The sequence below is a fragment of the Homo sapiens genome, chromosome 11, assembly GCF_000001405.40.
Source record: "Homo sapiens chromosome 11, GRCh38.p14 Primary Assembly".
In the NCBI taxonomy this organism is placed as follows: Eukaryota; Metazoa; Chordata; class Mammalia; order Primates; family Hominidae; genus Homo; species Homo sapiens.
Window position 1 is genome coordinate 90,274,726 of NC_000011.10, and position 18,407 is coordinate 90,293,132.

The following is an 18,407-nucleotide window of genomic DNA, read 5'->3' on the forward strand; positions in this document are numbered from 1 at the left end:
AAAGTAATAGGTCGTTGGGACAATCTAAGACTTCCGTGGCAGACAAATTAAGTCTTCTGTTGTCACCTGCCTCTAAGTGTAAGTAAGGATGCTGGAAGGTAGGAAAAGGGCATAATTTCACCTTTTGACACAAACTCTCATTGCTAGCTGAGTAACATATTTTCTTTGAGTTGATTTTAGGAACTCTGGAAAGCACTGGAGACGTACATTACATTTTTTAGTGGTCTAGCTGATAGTACTATGGTCTGAAAGGTTGAATGCATTGAATGCCCATTTGAAAGGAACTAATGGTCCTAGAAAGATGGATCACTGTTTCTGGCTGAAATTACATTTTAATAGAATTTCAACAAAACAACATACATTTTAATAAGTTTCACAAAATGGCAACATTTTCAACATGCAAAAGAAATAGCGAGAATGGTGATAGTATTTAACTCAGCATATGTAACATGGAAGTTCTGGAATATTGTGACAAGGTACAGAATGTACAAGTGGTTACTGTCTTTACTATTATAGTAATAATGGAGGTGGTTTAATGATTTATAGTTAAGAGTCTTGGAAACATGGGATCTACACTATAAAAAAGGTTATTCTATTCTTGGGGTGATAGTGGTAGGGAAGAAGGTAGGAAACAGACCATGAAGTAGGAGAGAGATGAATTGTGTATGTATTATCATGGAACACAGACTTTTGGTCTGAGAGCAATGCTTAATATATTCTATTCCCTCTGTGTTATCCCACTTATCTCTACATATGTCTAGATTAGGAGTTGGCAAGCATTTTTTAGGAAGGAACAGTTAGTAAACCTTTTAGGCTTTCTGGGTCAAATAGTCTCTGTTTTAATTATTTAACTCTGCCACTGTAGCCATAGACAATATGTAATCAAATGCATATGGCTGTCTTTCAACATGACTTTACTTTTTTTTTTTTTTTTACTATACAGCTTTTATTTTATTTATTTATTTTTTACTTCTTTTTTAATTTTATTATTATACTTTAAGTTTTAGGGTACATGTGCACAACGTGCAGGTTTGTTACATATGTATACTATTGTCATGTTGGTGTGCTGCACCCATTAACTCATCATGTAGCATTAGGTATATCTCCTAATGCTATCCCTCCCCCCTACTCCCACCCCACAACAGTCCCCGGTGTGTGATGTTCCCCTTCCTGTGTCCATGTGTTCTCATTGTTCAATTCCCATCTATGAGTGAGAACATGTGGTGTTTGGTTTTTTGTCCTTGTGATAGTTTGCTGAGAATGATAGTTTCCAGTTTCATCCATGTCCCTAGAAAGGACATGAACTCATCATTTTTTATGGCTGCATAGTATTCCATGGTGTATATGTGCCACATTTTCTTAATCCAGTCTCTCGTTGTTGGACATTTAGGTTGGTTCCAAGTCTTTGCTATTGTGAATAGTGCCGCTATAAACATATGTGTGCGTGTGTCTTTATAGCAGCATGATTTATAATCCTTTGGGTATATACCCAGTAAAGGGATGGCTGGGTCAAATGGTATTTCTAGTTCTAGATCCCTGAGGAATCTCCACACTGACTTCCACAATGGTTGAACTAGTTTACAGTCCCACCAACAGTGTAAAAGTTTTTCTGTTTGTCCACATCCTCTCCAGCACCTGTTGTTTCCTGACTTTTTAATGATCGCCATTCTAACTGGTGTGAGATGGTATCTCATTGTGGTTTTGATTTGCATTTCTCTGACGGCCGGTGATGATGAGCATTTTTTCATGTGTTTTTTGGCTGCATAAATACAGCATATCTACAACTATCTGTTCTTTGACAAACCTGACAAAAACAAGCAATGGGGAAAGGATTCCCTATTTAATAAATGGTGCTGGGAAAACTGGCTGGCCATATGTAGAAGGCTGAAACTGGATCCCTTCCTTACACCTTATACAAAAATTAATTCAAGATGGATTAAAGACTTAAATGTTAGACCTAAAACCATAAAAACCCTAGAAGAAAACCTAGGCAATACCATTCAGAACATAGGCATGAGCAAGGACTTCATGTGTAAAACACCAAAAGCAATGGCAACAAAAGCCAAAATTGACAAATGGGATCTAATTAAACTAAAGAGCTTCTGCACAGTAAAAGAAACTACCATCAGAGTGAACAGGCAATCTATAGAATGGGAGAAAATTTTTGCAACCTACTCATCTGACAAAGGGCTAATATCCAGAATCTACAATGAACTCAAACAAATTTGCAAGAAAAAACAAACAACACCATCAAACAGTGGGTGAAGGATATGAACAGACACTTCTCAAAAGAAGACTTTACTTTCAAAAGCAGGTTTGATTTGACCTGTAGGCTCTTGTTAGCTGCCCTATTGTCTAGATTCCTAACAAGATCTTACCAAGTCAGATCTTGCCTGGACCATAACATTAACTTCCTATCTATGAAAAATATATTTGTATCTTCATTAATATATTCAAGAATTTTTATGTAATATCTAATGAATACCAGGCATCAATCATGTCTTGCAGATACAGTGACAAAAAAAGATGACTTTTCCTCTAGGAGTTTTTGTCTATGACACAGATGATAAATAAATAATGAAGCGAGTAAATAAGATAATGAAAAATCATTTAAAGTGTATAAAGGAATTAAATACCATGATGTAAAAGGGGGTCACAGAGGCAGGAGCACAACTATTAATAGGGTGGTCAAGGAATGATTTCTGAAGAAAGTGACATTTAAGCCGAAACCTGAATGATGAAAAATAAGTGAGCCATATCACGAACCAGGAGAAGAACACTTTAGGAAAGGGTTCTGTTTCTCCGAGAACCCTAACTGATACATTATTCTCTTAACCAAATTTTAAGTGCATAACACAGTATTGTTAACTATAGGCATGATGTTGTACAGCCGATTTCTGAAACTTATTAATATTTCCTAAATGAAACTCTATGCTTGTTGATGTAACTCCCCATTTCCCCTTCTCCCAGCCTCTGGAAACCACCATTCCACTCTTTTACTGGACAAATTTGATGATTTTAGGTACTCATATAAATGGAATGATCCAGCATTTGTTCTTCCGAGACTGATTTATTTAACTTAGCATAATGTCCTTGACGTTTATCCATGTTATTGCATATTGCAGAATTTCCTTCTTTTTAAAGGCTGAATAATATCCATTACATGTATATACTACATTTTCTTTTTTTTTTTCGTCTGTTAAGGGGCACTTAGGTTGTTTCCACATCTTGCCTATTGTGAATAGTGCTGCAGTGAACATGGGAGTATAAATATATCTATGAGATCTTGATTTCAATTCTTTTGGATAAATACCCTGAAGTGGGATTGCAGATCATATGGTGATTCTATTTTTAATTTTTGAGAAAACTCCATAATGTTTTCCATAATGGCTGCATAAGTTTGTGTTTCCATCAACAGTTTACAAGGGTTGTTATTTCTCTACATCCTCACCAACATTGATAATAGACATTCTGACAGGTATCAGATGATACCTCATTGTGGTTTATATTTGCATTTCTCTGATGATTAATGACATTGAGCATCTTTTCATATAGCTGTTGGCCATTTGTATGTCTTTTTGGAAGAAATTTCTATTCAAGTCTTAAGCCCGTTTTAAAATCAAGTTATTAGTCTTTCTGCTATTGAGTTGTAGAAATTACTTACACATTTCAGATATTAACCATTCATCAGATACATAGTTTGCAAATATTTTCTCCTATTTCATAGATTGCCTTTTCATTCTGTTAAATATTTCTTTTGATGTGCAGAAGATGTTAGTTCAATGTAGTCCCACTTGTCTATTTTTGCCTGTGATTTTGGTGCCATGTCCATGAAATCATTGCCAAGATTAATTTCATGAAGGCTTTCCCCTATATTATCATCTAAGAATTTATGGTTTCAGATCTTATGTGTGGCTTTTTAAACCATTGTGAGTTGCTTTTGTGTATGGCATAAGATATTGTTCAAATTTCATTCTTTTATATGTGAATATCCAGTTTTCCCAATATTATTTGTTGAAGAAACTACCTTTTCCCCATTGTGTATGCTTGGCAGTATTGTTGAAGACTGTGTATTTATGGATTTATTTTTGAGTTCTGTACTCTCTTCCATTTGCCTTAGATAACTGTCTTTATGCTAGCACCATACTGTTTTACTTACTGTAGCATTGTAATACATTTTGAGATCATGAAGTGTGATGCTCCAGCCTCGCTCTTCTTTCTCAAGATTGATTTGACTATTTTGGGGTCTTCTGTGTTTCCTTATGAAATTTAGAGTGTTTTTTTTTCCGTTTCTGTAAAAATACTATTGGGATTTTTGATGAAAATTATATTGAATCTGTAGATTACTTTGGATTATATGAACATTTTAACAAAATTAATTCTTCCAATCTGTGAACACAAAATATCTTTTCATTTCTTTGTGTCTTCTTTAATGTTGTTCATCAGTGTTTTGTAGCTTTCAGTGTATAAGTCTTTCATCACCTTAGTTAAGTTTATTCCTATTTTATTCTTTTTGATGCTATTGTAAATGGAATTGCTTTCTGAATTTTCAGATAATTTATTTTTACTCTATAGATATATAATTAATTTTTATATATTTATTTTTTAAAAAAATTAATAGAGATGGGGTCGCTATATATTTCCCAGGCTAGACTTAAACTCCTGGGATCAAGCCATCCTTCACACTCAGCCTCCTAAGTAGCTGGGACTACAATATATGTTGATTTTGTATCCTTCAGCTTTACTAAATTTGTTTATTAGTTCTCACAGTTTTTTGGTCGAGTCTTTAGGGTTTTCTAGATGTAAGATTATGTCATTAGCAAAGGGGGACCATTTTACTTCTTCTTTTCTGATTTGGATGCCTTTTGTCTCTTTTTCTTGCCCAATTGCAGGAAAGTCTACCTAAGACATCTAGTACTATGTTAAATAGAAGTAACAAGAGAGGGCATTCTTGCTTTGTTCCTGATCGTAGAGCTTAAAACAATTTTCAGATTTTTTGCTGTTAACTGTGATGATAGCTGTGGATTCTTTATATATGGTCATTATTACGTTGAAATAATTTTATTCTATTTCTAGTTTGTTGAGAGCTTTTACCATGGAAAGGTACTAAATTTTGCAAAATGCTTTTTCTGCATCTGTTGAAATTATCATATGATTTTCATTTTTTCTTCTGTTAATTTAGAATATCACATTACTTGATTTTCATATGTTGAACCATCCATGTATCTCAGGGACAAATCCTTCATGGTCATGGTATATGACCTTTTAATATGCTGTTGAATTCAATTTGTTAGTATTTTAAAACAATTTTCTTCTCTATATTGATTAGAGATATTTGCCTGTAGTTTTCTTTTTTTGAGGTGTTTTTGTCTGGCTTTGATATCAGGGTAATGCTGGCCTCATAAAATGAGTTCAGAAGTGTTTCCCCCTCTTCAAGTTTTTGGAAGACAGGCAATAGTGACTGCCAACCCAAACCTCCATCTCTGTTTTCACTCTTCCCCCTACAGCTACATTTTGCCAGGTCAGTGCGCTGAGACTGGCAAAACAGAAACCAGTCCACTGTGAAGTCTTTGAAGGAAAGTTGGGATGCTGGATGCATGGACCAACTCTTTTCCTCCTCAGGGAGTAGCTGGGAGCTGGAATTTTCCCTCTGCTCATGCCATTCTGAGCTGAGGGGCAAAGCTATGGCAACTATGCCCCACACTGCTGTTTTTGTTCTCCCCCATTTGGCTAGATTATGCTCGTCCCATCAGGGCTCCTAGATTGGCAAGACAGAACCCAGTCCTCTGGGATGCTTCTATGGAAAAGTTGGGGCACTTATGTGTGAACCAATTCTTTTCCTTACCTGAGAGAAGTTAGGATCTGGGGGAGGGTGCCAGTGGTCTCTTTCCAATCAATCTTATGGCCCTATGTCAGGTGTGAGAATTTTGGTGGGAGGGTGTTCTGAATCTTCCTACTAGCTTCCATGAGTCTGGTTTTGTGTTTGCCCAGGGTACAAGAGCCTTTCAATTAGTTTCTCACAAAGGGTATCTGTCTGTGAATTGTTGCTGAATTGTTGTGTTCATAGGGGAAAAGATAGTCTAGAGCTTTCTACTTTGTCATCTTGCTGATATTACTCTTTATGTATATTTTTAAAATATTATTATGGCTGCTGGATAATGAATGAAAAGGGAGAAGCAAGAATGCAAGTAAGTAGATTACAAGTTTCTGCAATGGCTCAGATGAGAGATACTAAGAATGGTTATAGACAAGAGGTTGGATTTGATATGAATATTGGAAATAGAAAAATAGGAATTGCTAATGTATTGGATATGGCAGTAAGGGGAAGAGAAGAGTCAAAGATAACTCCCAGATTTTTAATTGAGTATCTGAGTGACTTGTAGTAATATGTATTGGGATTAAGAGGAGCAAGAGAGAAATGAATGGGGGTGTAATGAATCAAGAGTTCTGCTTTAGATAAGTTGAGTTTAGAATGCCAATGAGAATTTAAGTGGAAATATAAAATAGGAAATTGGATAAGTGTTTGTAGTTCATGGAAAAGTTCTGAGCTACAAGTTTAATTTTTGGTGGTATCAGCACATAGATGGTGTTTAAAATATTGGACCAGGCACCTATTTCTGTATTTACCCCTCCATTGTAAACAAATAAAAATACATATGAAACAATGGTTTACAGAAATTGGATGACTGACTCCTGAGAGAGGGAAAACAAACATGGTGAATTCTAGAATTGATACAGCTTACTATCTTAAGATAATATTTAGGATACAGTGGAGGGAGGAGAAATACAAACAGAGCCTGGCAGTTTCCCTGAGTCAAGGAAGCTAAGTTGAGAATGCAGAAAGAAATTCATTGAGCAGCACACTAAAGAGAAGTGAGGTGATGAGAAAGAGCTCTAGAAATAAGGAAAGGTTTTCTTCTTGAGTCTTTAGCTGAATACATGTTAGTGCTTATATGTGAGAAAGCTACCTGAGCCTGGAGAAACAGGCACAAATTCTTTGATATTTCTCTCCCCAGGAGGTAGAGCTTACAGTGGATAAACCTGGCAGATAGCATCTTAATCAAGTGATTGAAGTTAACCTCATCAGTACTAGGATATGTTGATATCATGTACCTCCTGATATGATATGATGAGAAGGCCACTTATTCTTTGTGGTATTATTCCCAGAATTCTATAACACAGTGTAATCATAATAAGCCATCAGACAAACTTACAGTGGGGACCATTTTACAAAATTCATGATCTGTGTTCTTCAGAAGTGTCAAAGTCATGAAAGACAAGGAAAAACTGAGGAGCTGTCACAGGTGGGAGGGGATTAAAGAGATATAACAACTAAATTCACTGTGGTACAGGCATACTTTGAAGATATTGTGGGTTTGGTTCTAGACCACTGCAATAAAGCAAATTTCACAATAAAGTGAGTCATATAATATTTTAGGTTTCCCAGTGCATGTAAAAGTCATAACCTATTAAGTGTGCAATAGCATGATATTTAAAAAATCATATATATCATATTTACAAATACTGTATTGCTAAAAATGTTAATGATTATTTGAGCCTTTACTGATGGAAAGGCTTGCCTCAATGTTGATGGCTACTGATTGATCAGGGTGGTGATTGCTGAAGGTTGGAGTGGCTGTGGCAATTTTTAACAAGACAACAGTGAAGTTTGCCTCATTGACTGATTCTTCCTTTCATGAAAAATTTCTCTGTTGCATGTAATGCTGTTCGATAGCATTTTACCTAAGTAGGCCTTTTTTTTTTTTTTTTTCAAAATTGGAGTCAATCCTCTCAAACTCTGCTGCTGCTTTATCAACTAAGTTTATGGAACATTCCCAGTGTGTTACTTACCTCAACTCTTAGCTTGTTGGGGACGGTAACCGGGACCCAGTGTCTGCTCCTGTCACCTTCGCCTCCTAATCCCTAGCCACTATGCGTGAATGCGTCTCCATCCACGTTGGCCAGGCTGGTGTCCAGATTGGCAATGTCTGCTGGGAGCTCTACTGCCTGGAACATGGCATCCAGCCCGATGGCCAGATGCCAAGTGACAAGACCATTGGGGGAGGAGATGACTCCTTCAACACCTTCAGTGAGACGGGTGCTGGCAAGCATGTGCCCCGGGCTGTGTTTGTAGACTTGGAACCCATGGTCATTGATGAAGTTTGCACTGGCACCTACCGCCAGCTCTTCCACCCTGAGCAGCTCATCACAGGCAAGGAAGATGCTGCCAATAACTATGCCCGAGGGCACTACACCATTGGCAAGGAGATCATTGACCTTGTGTTGGACCGAATTCGCAAGCTGGCTAACCAGTGCACTGGTTTTCAGGGCTTCTTGGTTTTCCACAGCTTTGGTGGGGGAACTGGTTCTGGGTTCACCTCCCTGCTCATAGAACGTCTCTTAGTTGATTATGGCAAGAAGTCCAAGCTGGAGTTCTCCAATTACCCAGCGCCCCAGGTTTCCACAGCTGTAGTTGAGCCCTACAACTCCATCCTCACCACCCACACCACCCTGGAGCACTCTGATTGTGCCTTCATGGTAGACAATGAGGCCATCTGTGACATCTGTTGTAGAAACCTCAATATCGAGCGCCCAACCTACACTAACCTTAACCACCTTATTAGCCAGATTGTGTCCTCTATCACTGCTTCCCTGAGATTTGATGGAGCCCTGAATGTTGACCTGACAGAATTCCAGACCAACCTGGTACCCTACTCCCACATCCACTTCCCTCTGGCGACATATGCCCCTGTCATTTCTGCTGAGAAAGCCTACCATGAACAGCTTTCTGTAGCAGAGATCACCAATGCTTCCTTTGAGCCAGCCAACCAGATGGTGAAATGTGACCCTCGCCATGGTAAATACATGGCTTGCTGCCTATTGTGCCATGGTGATGTGGTTCCCAAAGATGCCAATGCTGCCATTGCCACCATCAAGACCAAGCGTAGCATCCAGTTTGTAGATTGGTGCCCCACTGGCTTCAAGGTTGGCATCAACTACCAGTCTCCCACTGTGGTGCCTGGTGGAGACCTGGCCATGGTACAGAGTGCATGCTGAGCAACACCACAGCCATTGCTGAGGCCTGGGCTCGCCTGGACCACAAGTTTGACCTGATGTATGCCAAGCGTGCCTTTGTTCACTGGTACGTGGGTGAGGGGATGGAGGAAGGCGAGTTTTCAGAGGCCCGTGAAGACATGGCTGCCCTTGAGAAGGATTATGAGGAGGTTGGTGTGGATTCTGTTGAAGGAGAGGGTGAGGAAGAAAGAGAGGAATACTAATCCATTCCTTTTGGCCCTGCAGCATGTCGTGCTCCCAGAATTTCAGCTTCAGCTTAGCTGACAGACATTAAAGCTTTCTGGTTAGATTTTCATTTGGTGATCATGTCTTTTCCATGTGTACCTGTAATGTTTTTCCATCATGTCTCAAAGTACAGTCATTAACATAAAAAAAAAAGTTTATGTTATATTTTAGATCATTTGTTGGCATTTCAACAATGTTCACAGCATCTTCACTAAGAGTCGATTTTGTCTCAAGAAACCACTTTTTTTTCCCATCCAGAGGAAGAAGCTTCTCATCCATTCAAGTTTCATTATGAGATTGCAGCAATTCAGTCACATCTTCAGGCTCCACTTCTAATTGTAGTTCACTTGCTATTTCCACATCTGCAGTTACTTCCTCTAATAATGTCTTGAATACTCAAAGTCATCAACTTCTTCAAACTCCTGTTATGGTTGACATTTTGACCTTCTCTCATAAATCACTAATGCTCTTAATGACATCTTAGAATGGTTAATTATTTCCCAAAGTTTTTCAACTTGTTTTGTCAAGATCCATCAGAAGATTCACAATTTATATGGAAGCTATAGCCTTATGAAATGTACTGCTGAACAAATGAGACTTGAAAATTGAAATTTCTCTTTGATCCATGGGCTACAGAGTGGATACTGAGTTTGCAGGTATAAAAACAACATTAATCTTCTTGCATCTCTCCGTGAGAGCTCTTGTTTGACTAGGTGCACTGTCAATGAGCAGTAATGTTTTGAAAGCAATCTTTTTTATAAGCAGTAAGTCTCAACAATGGACTGAAAACATTTAGTAAATCATGCTATAAGCAGATGTGCTATCATCTAGGCTTGTTGTTTCATTTATAGAGCACAGGTAGAGTAAATTTAAGGGCTCTAGGATTTTCAAAATGAAATGGTAATGAGGATTAGTGGCAACTTAAAGTCACCAACTGCTTTAGCCCCTAACAAAAGAGTCAGCCTGTCTTTTGAAGCTTTGAAGTTAGGCATTAACTTCTCTCTAGCTATGAAAGTCCTAGATGGCATCCTCTTCCGTTATAAGGCTGTTTGGTCTACACTGATTATTTTTTGTTTATTGTAGCCACCTTCATCAATAATTGTAGGTAGATCTTCTGGATAACTTGCTGAAGCTTCTCCATCAGCACTTGCTGTTTCACCTTGCATTTTTATGTTATGGTGATGGCTTCTTTCCTTACGTCTCATTAGTCAACCTTTGCTAGCCTCCAACCTTTCTTCTTCTTCTTTTTTTTTTATTATACTTTAAGTTTTAGGGTACATGTGCACAATGTGCCGGTTAGTTACATATGTATACATGTGCCATGTTGGTGTGCTGAACCCAGTAACTCGTCATTTAACATCAGGTATATCTCCTAATGCTATCTCTCCCCCCTCCCCCCACCCCACAACAGGCCCCGGTGTGTGATGCTCCCCTTCCTGTGTCCATGTATTCTCATTGTTCAGTTCCCACCTATGAATGAGAACATGTGGTGTTTGGTTTTTTGCCCTTGTGATAGTTTGCTGAGAATGATGGTTTCCAGCTTCATCCATGTCTCTACAAAGGACACGAACTCATCATTTTTTATGGCTGCATAGTATTCCATGGTGTATATGTACCACATAACGGCTAGCTTCCAACCTTTCTCCTGCAGCTTCCTCACATCTCTCTGCCTTCTTGGAATTAAAGAGAGTTTGTGTCTTGCTCTGGATTAGGTTTTGAATTAAAGGAATGTTGTGGCTGGTTTGATCTCCTATTTAGACCACTAAAAGTTTCTCCATATCAGCAATAAGGCTGTATTGCTTTCTTATCACTCATGTGTTCACTAATTTCTTTCAATAACTTCTCCTTTCACAACTTGGCTAACTCTTTGGCACAAGAGGCCAATCTTTTGGCCTATCTCAAACATGCCTTCCTCATAAGCTTAATCATTTCTAGCTTTTGATTTAAAATGATAGTTATGTGACTCTAACTTGAACACTTAGAGGCCATAGTAGGGTTATTCATTGGCCTAATTTTAATATTGTATCTTAGGGAATAGGGAGGCCTGAAGAGAGGGAGAGAGAGATGAAGGAACGGCTGGTTGATGGAGCCAGTCAGAATGTACATAACATTTACCTGTTAAGTTCACTATCTTTTATGGACATAGTTCGTGGTGCCACAAAACAATTACGATAGTAATATCAAATATTACTGATCACAGGTCACCATAACAGATATACTAATAATGATAAAGTTGGAAATATTTCAAAAATTACCAAAATGTGATACAAACACATGAATTGAGCACATGCTGTTGGAAAAATGAAGCTGATAGAGTTGCTCAATACAGGGTTGCCACAAGTCCTCAATTTGTAAAATACATGGTATTTGTGCAGCGCAATAAAGTGAAGTGCAACAAAACGAGGTGTGGCTGTGTCCTAGAACATAAATATGTACTTTAGTGGAAAAGGTGGATAAACTAAAACAATTTTGTAGTTTAGTTCAGTGGTCCCCAACCTTTTTGGCACCAGGGACTGGTTTCGTGGAAGACAATTTTTCCAGACTCAGGCCAGGGTGGAATTGTTTTGGAATGATTCAAGTGCATTACATTTATTGCATACTTTATTTATATTATTATTACATCATAATATATAATGAAATAATTACATATATCACCATAATGTGGAATCAGTAGGAGCCCTAAGCTTGTTTTCCTGCAAATAGATTGTTTTATCTGGGGGTGATGGGAGACAGTGACAGATCATCAAGCATTAGAATCCCAGGAATGTGCAACCTAGATCCATTGCATGTGCATTTCACAATAGGGTTCAAACTCCTATGTGAATCTAATGCCACCATTGATCTAACAGGAGGTGGAGCTCAGGAGGTAATGCCAGAGATGAGGAATAGCTGTAAATACAGATGAAGCTTTGCCTTCTCAACTGCTGCTCACCTCCTGCTGTGCGTCCCGGTTCCTAACAGGCCATGGATGGGTACCAGTCCATGACCCAGGGGTTGGAGACCCCTGGTTTAGTTAATGGTAGTGTATGGTTTTTATATTCTTACTTTTAATAATTATACTTTGGTTATGTGAGATATTAACATTAAGGGGACGTTGGATAAAGACCATATGAGAATTTACTATCTTTGTAACTTTTCTTTAAGGCTAAAATTACCTCACCATGATTTTTTTCTTTAATAAAGCAATATTGAGACTTTAGAAGCAATAGGGCAAGGCATTGATATATCACTGGTGGGAGCCTCTCTAATTTCCCACAGGACAAAAAAGTCAATGATATTCATTTGGTCTCTTAATATAAAAGTACTGGGGACCTATAGCGGGCCAAGCATTATACTATGACTAGGTTATAGAAGTAAATGAAAGATATATGCTCTTTCAGTTGGCAAGGGGGTTTATGAGTGTTATATCCACAGGTAGAGGGAGGCTGAGAAGGTTTGGATTTGTGATAATAAAATCGGGTTGGAGTCTCTGCTACAAATATCTTTGCATCATCTTCAAAGTTGATGTGTCCTGGGAAAACCAAGTTTTCATGAAAAAGTAAGGTTTATAATGGAAATGCTTTAAATCAGCAATGTTTATACATTTTTTTAAACTCGTCTTTGATGGTCATATGTGTTGTAAGCTTTTTTCAATGCCTGAGTGTTTCTGGCTTGATAGAGTAGGTAGCGTAGGTATTAGGGCAGGCTTGCTAACATCCTCAGGTATGTGCTGAATATTCTCAATGCATTTGTCAGTATTAATGTTGTGAAATCCATATCTGTGTGTATTCTGTACCACTTTCAATATTCCTTTTCTATATCTCCTATTAAGAAAAACATTTAAGAGAGCTACTTTTCTGTCTTTATTCCTTTGTGAATAGTAATATTTAAAGGGATTATTACAGATATTAAAATAAGTAGACTGAATATTGAATGAGTGAGAATAGAGGTATTTATGAGATTTGTATGCTTCTGGCATCCTCCTGGGAATTTTTTTTCCAGCAGCATAGCCTGTAAATATTTAATATTTTCCAGATATTATCCTCAGAGCCTCAATCCATTAACTCAAGTGCATGCTACAAAAACATATTTGTATACTATTGACAGTACATGAAAAGAGGAAGGAAAGAAAATGAAATGATTTTTCTATCAAGTACCATGATTTAGTCATTTCTGTGTTCTCTATGGATTTAGCTCAGTGCTTGGCAATACTGGTAGGTGATAAATTCAATTTTGTTGAAGTGAGTGAGTAAATGAATATATTAACCATTGTTTCATTTAAAGGGTGTAAAGCATAATAACCTTTTCTTTTGTGTCAGAGAATGTTTTCCACAAAGCCACCAGGGTACCTGGTGCTGTTCATGTATTTCAGAAATGTTTCTTGTGTACCAGTAGATGGCAGTCCTTCTTCACGTCCTATCTTTCTTTAAAAGAAAAAAAGGATGAAAGAGATTGAAAAAGAAAGAGATGAAAATGGAAACAGATAAAGATAGTTTTTTAAATTCAGCACATTGTGTTTATTTAATTTTTATGAATAGATTTTAAAAAATTAACTGTTAAGAAGCAGGGAAAGTTAAAATGTGTCTTAAGTTAATTGGAAATAAACCATCAAACGCAATTGACTTTGTGCTAGCTCATCAAATTTCATACCAATGAATTACATTTTGATTAAATGTCACTGTGTATTTCTTTCTGAAAATAAGCTTATCAATAGCCACATGGCCTGTGTGATTTTCAACGTAAATGTCAGCCAGTTTCTTGCCATGCTGGACACTCAAATGATGCAGACTTCAGTTTAAGTTTGGGGGCTCCACTTTGTTATCAGCCTGGTACCTTGGAGAGTATTTAGGGAAACCGTCAAACTATTTTTCTCACCAAAACGTTTAAAATTTGTTGAGCAGCTCAGAATGCTGCAGATATCTGGACAACTGCATGCCCTCGCACTGAAGCATAGGATGGAAAACCGACCCAACAGGAGCTCATTATACATTTCCACAGAGATTCCCAATATGTGAAACATGCCGATGCATTCATATTGCATCTCCACTACAGTAGTTGCTAGGGAGCAAACTGAGTTCACCAGTTTCATTTCCTTTGGAAAGTATCTTTATTTGAAACCTAAATCATGGGTTCCAGAATAATTTCCTCAACCTCTTCCCCTGATTACATTCATCATTTTTCCATCTACTTCAGCCCTGTCACACTGACCCTACTCCAATGAGAAAAAACATGACTAAAGCCCAGGGAACAACTCAGAATTTCAAATACTGGGTTTAGTTTCCAATGGATTTCTTTTTTGTATTCTCTTACTTTTGTGTTCTACAATTTGCCAACAGCTGAAAGAACCACAACCTTAAATGTTTTCTAATCTACAGCCATTGTTAACCACAGAATTTAGGACATGATAAAAACACAGGTTCCTTGTATAGGGGTAGCTTCTCACATATTTCTCATGAAATTTATTCTCTAAAAATAAATTGCTATATGGATAGTTTGACTAACTTTATATTATACTCAGGCTCTGTATTTTTATTTTGCTTTAGTGTTTGAGGGATGTATAAAACCAACTACACACAATTGCACACACACACACAAATTGCAAAAGACACACCAAGACACTTTATGTTTACTGTGATTATATATGTCTTCCTTTGACGTAACTGGAAATAACAGTCAGAATGCACACAATTCAACCACTGAAGCTACATACTGAATAATTTTTAATGTTTGTGTATGTGTTTCCCCATTAGGCTTTGAGACAGATGAGGGCAGAAAAGTTTTCACATTAATTTATTTATGCAATCATGCTTTTACTAATCATTTGTTGGATACTTAACATATGAAAAACTGGGGATAAAATAATGAATAAGACAAAGACTCTGTCTTTATGAAACTTAAAGTATGTAAAGGTAAAGCAGACACATAAAAAAAGGTTAGTAAATCAGACTCCATGATGAAAATATTAATTGGCTATAGTGAAGGAGCAAAATATAATGAGTGTCTTTCTATCTATGGGGATGTAAGGAGGAGTGATGGAAAGCTTTATTAGAGAGAGATTTGAACTCCTTTGAAACGTGTACAAGAGTTCATTAGGTCAACTGTGAGGTAGAATTTTCTACACAGAAGGACTAATATGAGAATTACAGAAGGTTATACATAGCATGTTTTATTTGAAAACTGAAATTAGTTGATGTGGGGTAGTACATTACAGTAGTACTGTAAATGTAGGGATGTTGTAAAGGAATCTTTGTATATCGTACCAAGGAATTTGAACTTTATTGTCTGGGTACTTGGAGTCAGTCAGATATATGTTTTTTTTTATTTATTTATTTATTTATTTTTTTTGAGACGGAGTCTCGCTCTGTCGCCCAGGCTGGAGTGCAGTGGCGGGATCTCGGCTCACTGCAAGCTCCGCCTCCCGGGTTCACGCCATTCTCCTGCCTCAGCCTCCCAAGTAGCTGGGACTACAGGCGCCCGCCACTACGCCCGGCTAATTTTTTGTATTTTTAGTAGAGACGGGGTTTCACCGTTTTAGCCGGGATGGTCTCGATCTCCTGACCTCGTGATCCGCCCGCCTCGGCCTCCCAAAGTGCTGGGATTACAGGCGTGAGCCACCGCGCCCGGCCAGATATATGTTTTATGTAGGGCTCTGACAAGATCGCATTTACCTTTTTGAAATTTCACTCTGTTAGAGGTGTAATGGATAGACTGAGGAGTAGGAATTTCACAACAAGATCAGCTTGGAGACTTTCCAGTATTTTAGGCAAGAGATAATGAGGGGCCTGACTTCAGTAGAATTAGATGAATCCAGAAGAAACAATAACAAGCTCAGTTTTATATAGGTTTAGATTGAGGTGCCCATTGGGCTTCTATAGAAGAGATATATGACAGCATTTGTTATCAAAGGAAAGCTCTAAATTAGAACTGTGGCCTTGGGATCTATCAGCATGTGAGTGGTAACTGAAGCCCTGGATATGTATGAGATCACCTAGTGAGGATAAGAAGAGAAAAGAAAAAAAGAAGAAAAAATGAAAGAAGAAAGGACAAGACATTGAAAAATATAGCATTTGAGGTATAAATAAGATACAAAGGACCTCTGAGATTAAATATATAAAAATAGCAGAAAGAGAAGAAGGATAGAATGGACATAGAGAAACCAAAGTAGGAACAAGCAGTCAAAATGTCAAATGCAGCAAACAGGCACAGTAGGTTAAACATTGACTGTAGTCCATTAAATTTGGCAATTAGGAAGTAATAAGGATCTTTTCCAGAGTGGTTTATATGGAGTGTTAGGTTAGAAGTCAGGTGATTGAAGGTTGAAAAGGAATGGAAAGAGAAGGAAGAGAAGATAAGTATGTAGATTTTTCTTTCAAAGAGTTTTTGTATGAAGGGAAGAAGAAAGAACTATCACCAGCATGTAGCACAAGACCTAGCACTGAGTGGGTGTTAATATACACTTGTGGAATTGAATTTATCAAGTACACTTTGTCATCACTACAATGTCATCACTACCTCACACTACAAAGTGTGATCCATGTAACACCCAGAAATATTCATCTTCTATACTGATATGAGTTTTAGGATGCAAACCTGTATAATCAGGTAAAACAGCTAGTGTGTAGTTTAGTGAAAGGTTAAACCTTACGGTCATCTAAGGGGAAGGAAAGTGGAATTTATAGCTCTACCTTTAAGAATTCTCTTCAAGCTCACCAGATAGATGGGGTTTTTCCTTGTCTTAGTTTGGTGCTATAGGTTGCGAGCAGGATAATTCCATGGGCCGTCTAAAGCAGGACTGAGGATGTGAAGACTAGCTGACAGTGAAGAGGAACTATTAACTCATAAATTATGAGAACTGGGAGTTTTCAGAGATTATCTGGCTACAAGTTATTCAAAACCTTATTTTTGTTTTCTTAATGGAATCTCCTTTTACCAAACCCATTAGTATGTGTAATCTGAATGTATGATACTGACAAAAGGGTAAGACAATTAATATAAATTTATGCTATATATTTATTTTTATAACAGTTAAATATTTTGAACATGATAAAACAATGAGTCTGTTTTGATGAACACAAGTGTCTAAAATTCTAAATTTGGTTGCTAGAGATGACAGTTGGAATTACGTTAGCCTTAGTATCCAATTTATTTCTGTATTTTGCTTTGTTGGTACTGTTCAGAGAAAATCCTGAATCATACAAGTTAATTTTTTAAAATAATAACTACTTTTAAAAACAGATTATTATGAAATCCTGGGACACTCATCAAATAAGCTATCAAGAATGATAGGGACTCTTAATGCTTGTCTATTCATCCAGGGTTATAATTACGACTATTAAGAAGCACCTGCTAGGCCAGGCGTGGTGGCTCATGCCTGTAATCCCCGCAGTTTGGGAGGCCGAGGCGGGTGGATCATGAGGTCAGGAGATCGAGACCATCCTGGCTAACACGGTGAAACCCTGTCTCTACTAAAAATATAAAAAAATAGCCGGGCGTGGTGGTGGGCGCCTATGGTCCCAGCTACTCGGGAGGTTGACGCAGGAGAGTGGCTTGAACCCAGGAGGCAGAGGTTGTAGTGAGCTGAGATCGTGCCACTGCACTCCAGCCTGGGCGACAGAGCAAGACTCCATCTCAAAACAAAACAAAGAAACAAAAAAACCAAGAAGCACCTGCTAAATGTATTGCAATTTGAGGTTTAGATTTAACTTAATAAAGACTCACCCTTCCAAAAATTTTTTATTGAATGATTATTCTACAATAGAATACATATACAAATATGAATAAAGACTCAGTCTGTGTCTTTATTTAAGACACAGAAATTTACAATAAAGATGAAAAATTAAACATAGAAGCAATAAAAAATAAAAGGTGGAATGACAGAAGCATGCAATAAAGTAACGACTACAGTGGAGAAACAAAAAAGAAAGCAGATCTATCTGTGAGACTGCAGAAGAGAATTATATGCAGCTTCACAGAGGTGACACTTGTACTGTTGTGAAGAGTGTACAGGTGTTTACTAGGTTGAGAAAGTTTGAATATTAGAATATTAGTAGGTAATAAAAGATATGTTGTGTAAGTGATTGCAGAAGTCTTCCATTATGTAACAATTGCTGGTATTCTTGTCAGGTATA

The 18,407-nt window shown here is 37.5% G+C and overlaps 1 long non-coding RNA gene and 1 pseudogene across 1 annotated transcript in view; both read left to right on the forward strand.

Annotated features, from left to right (window-relative positions):
• The window catches only part of DISC1FP1 (DISC1 fusion partner 1), a 663,821-nt gene that overhangs the window by 23,494 nt on the left and 621,920 nt on the right, over nucleotides 1-18,407 (forward strand). The window lies entirely within an intron of this gene.
• Nucleotides 7,838-9,448, forward strand: TUBAP2 (tubulin alpha pseudogene 2; annotated as a pseudogene).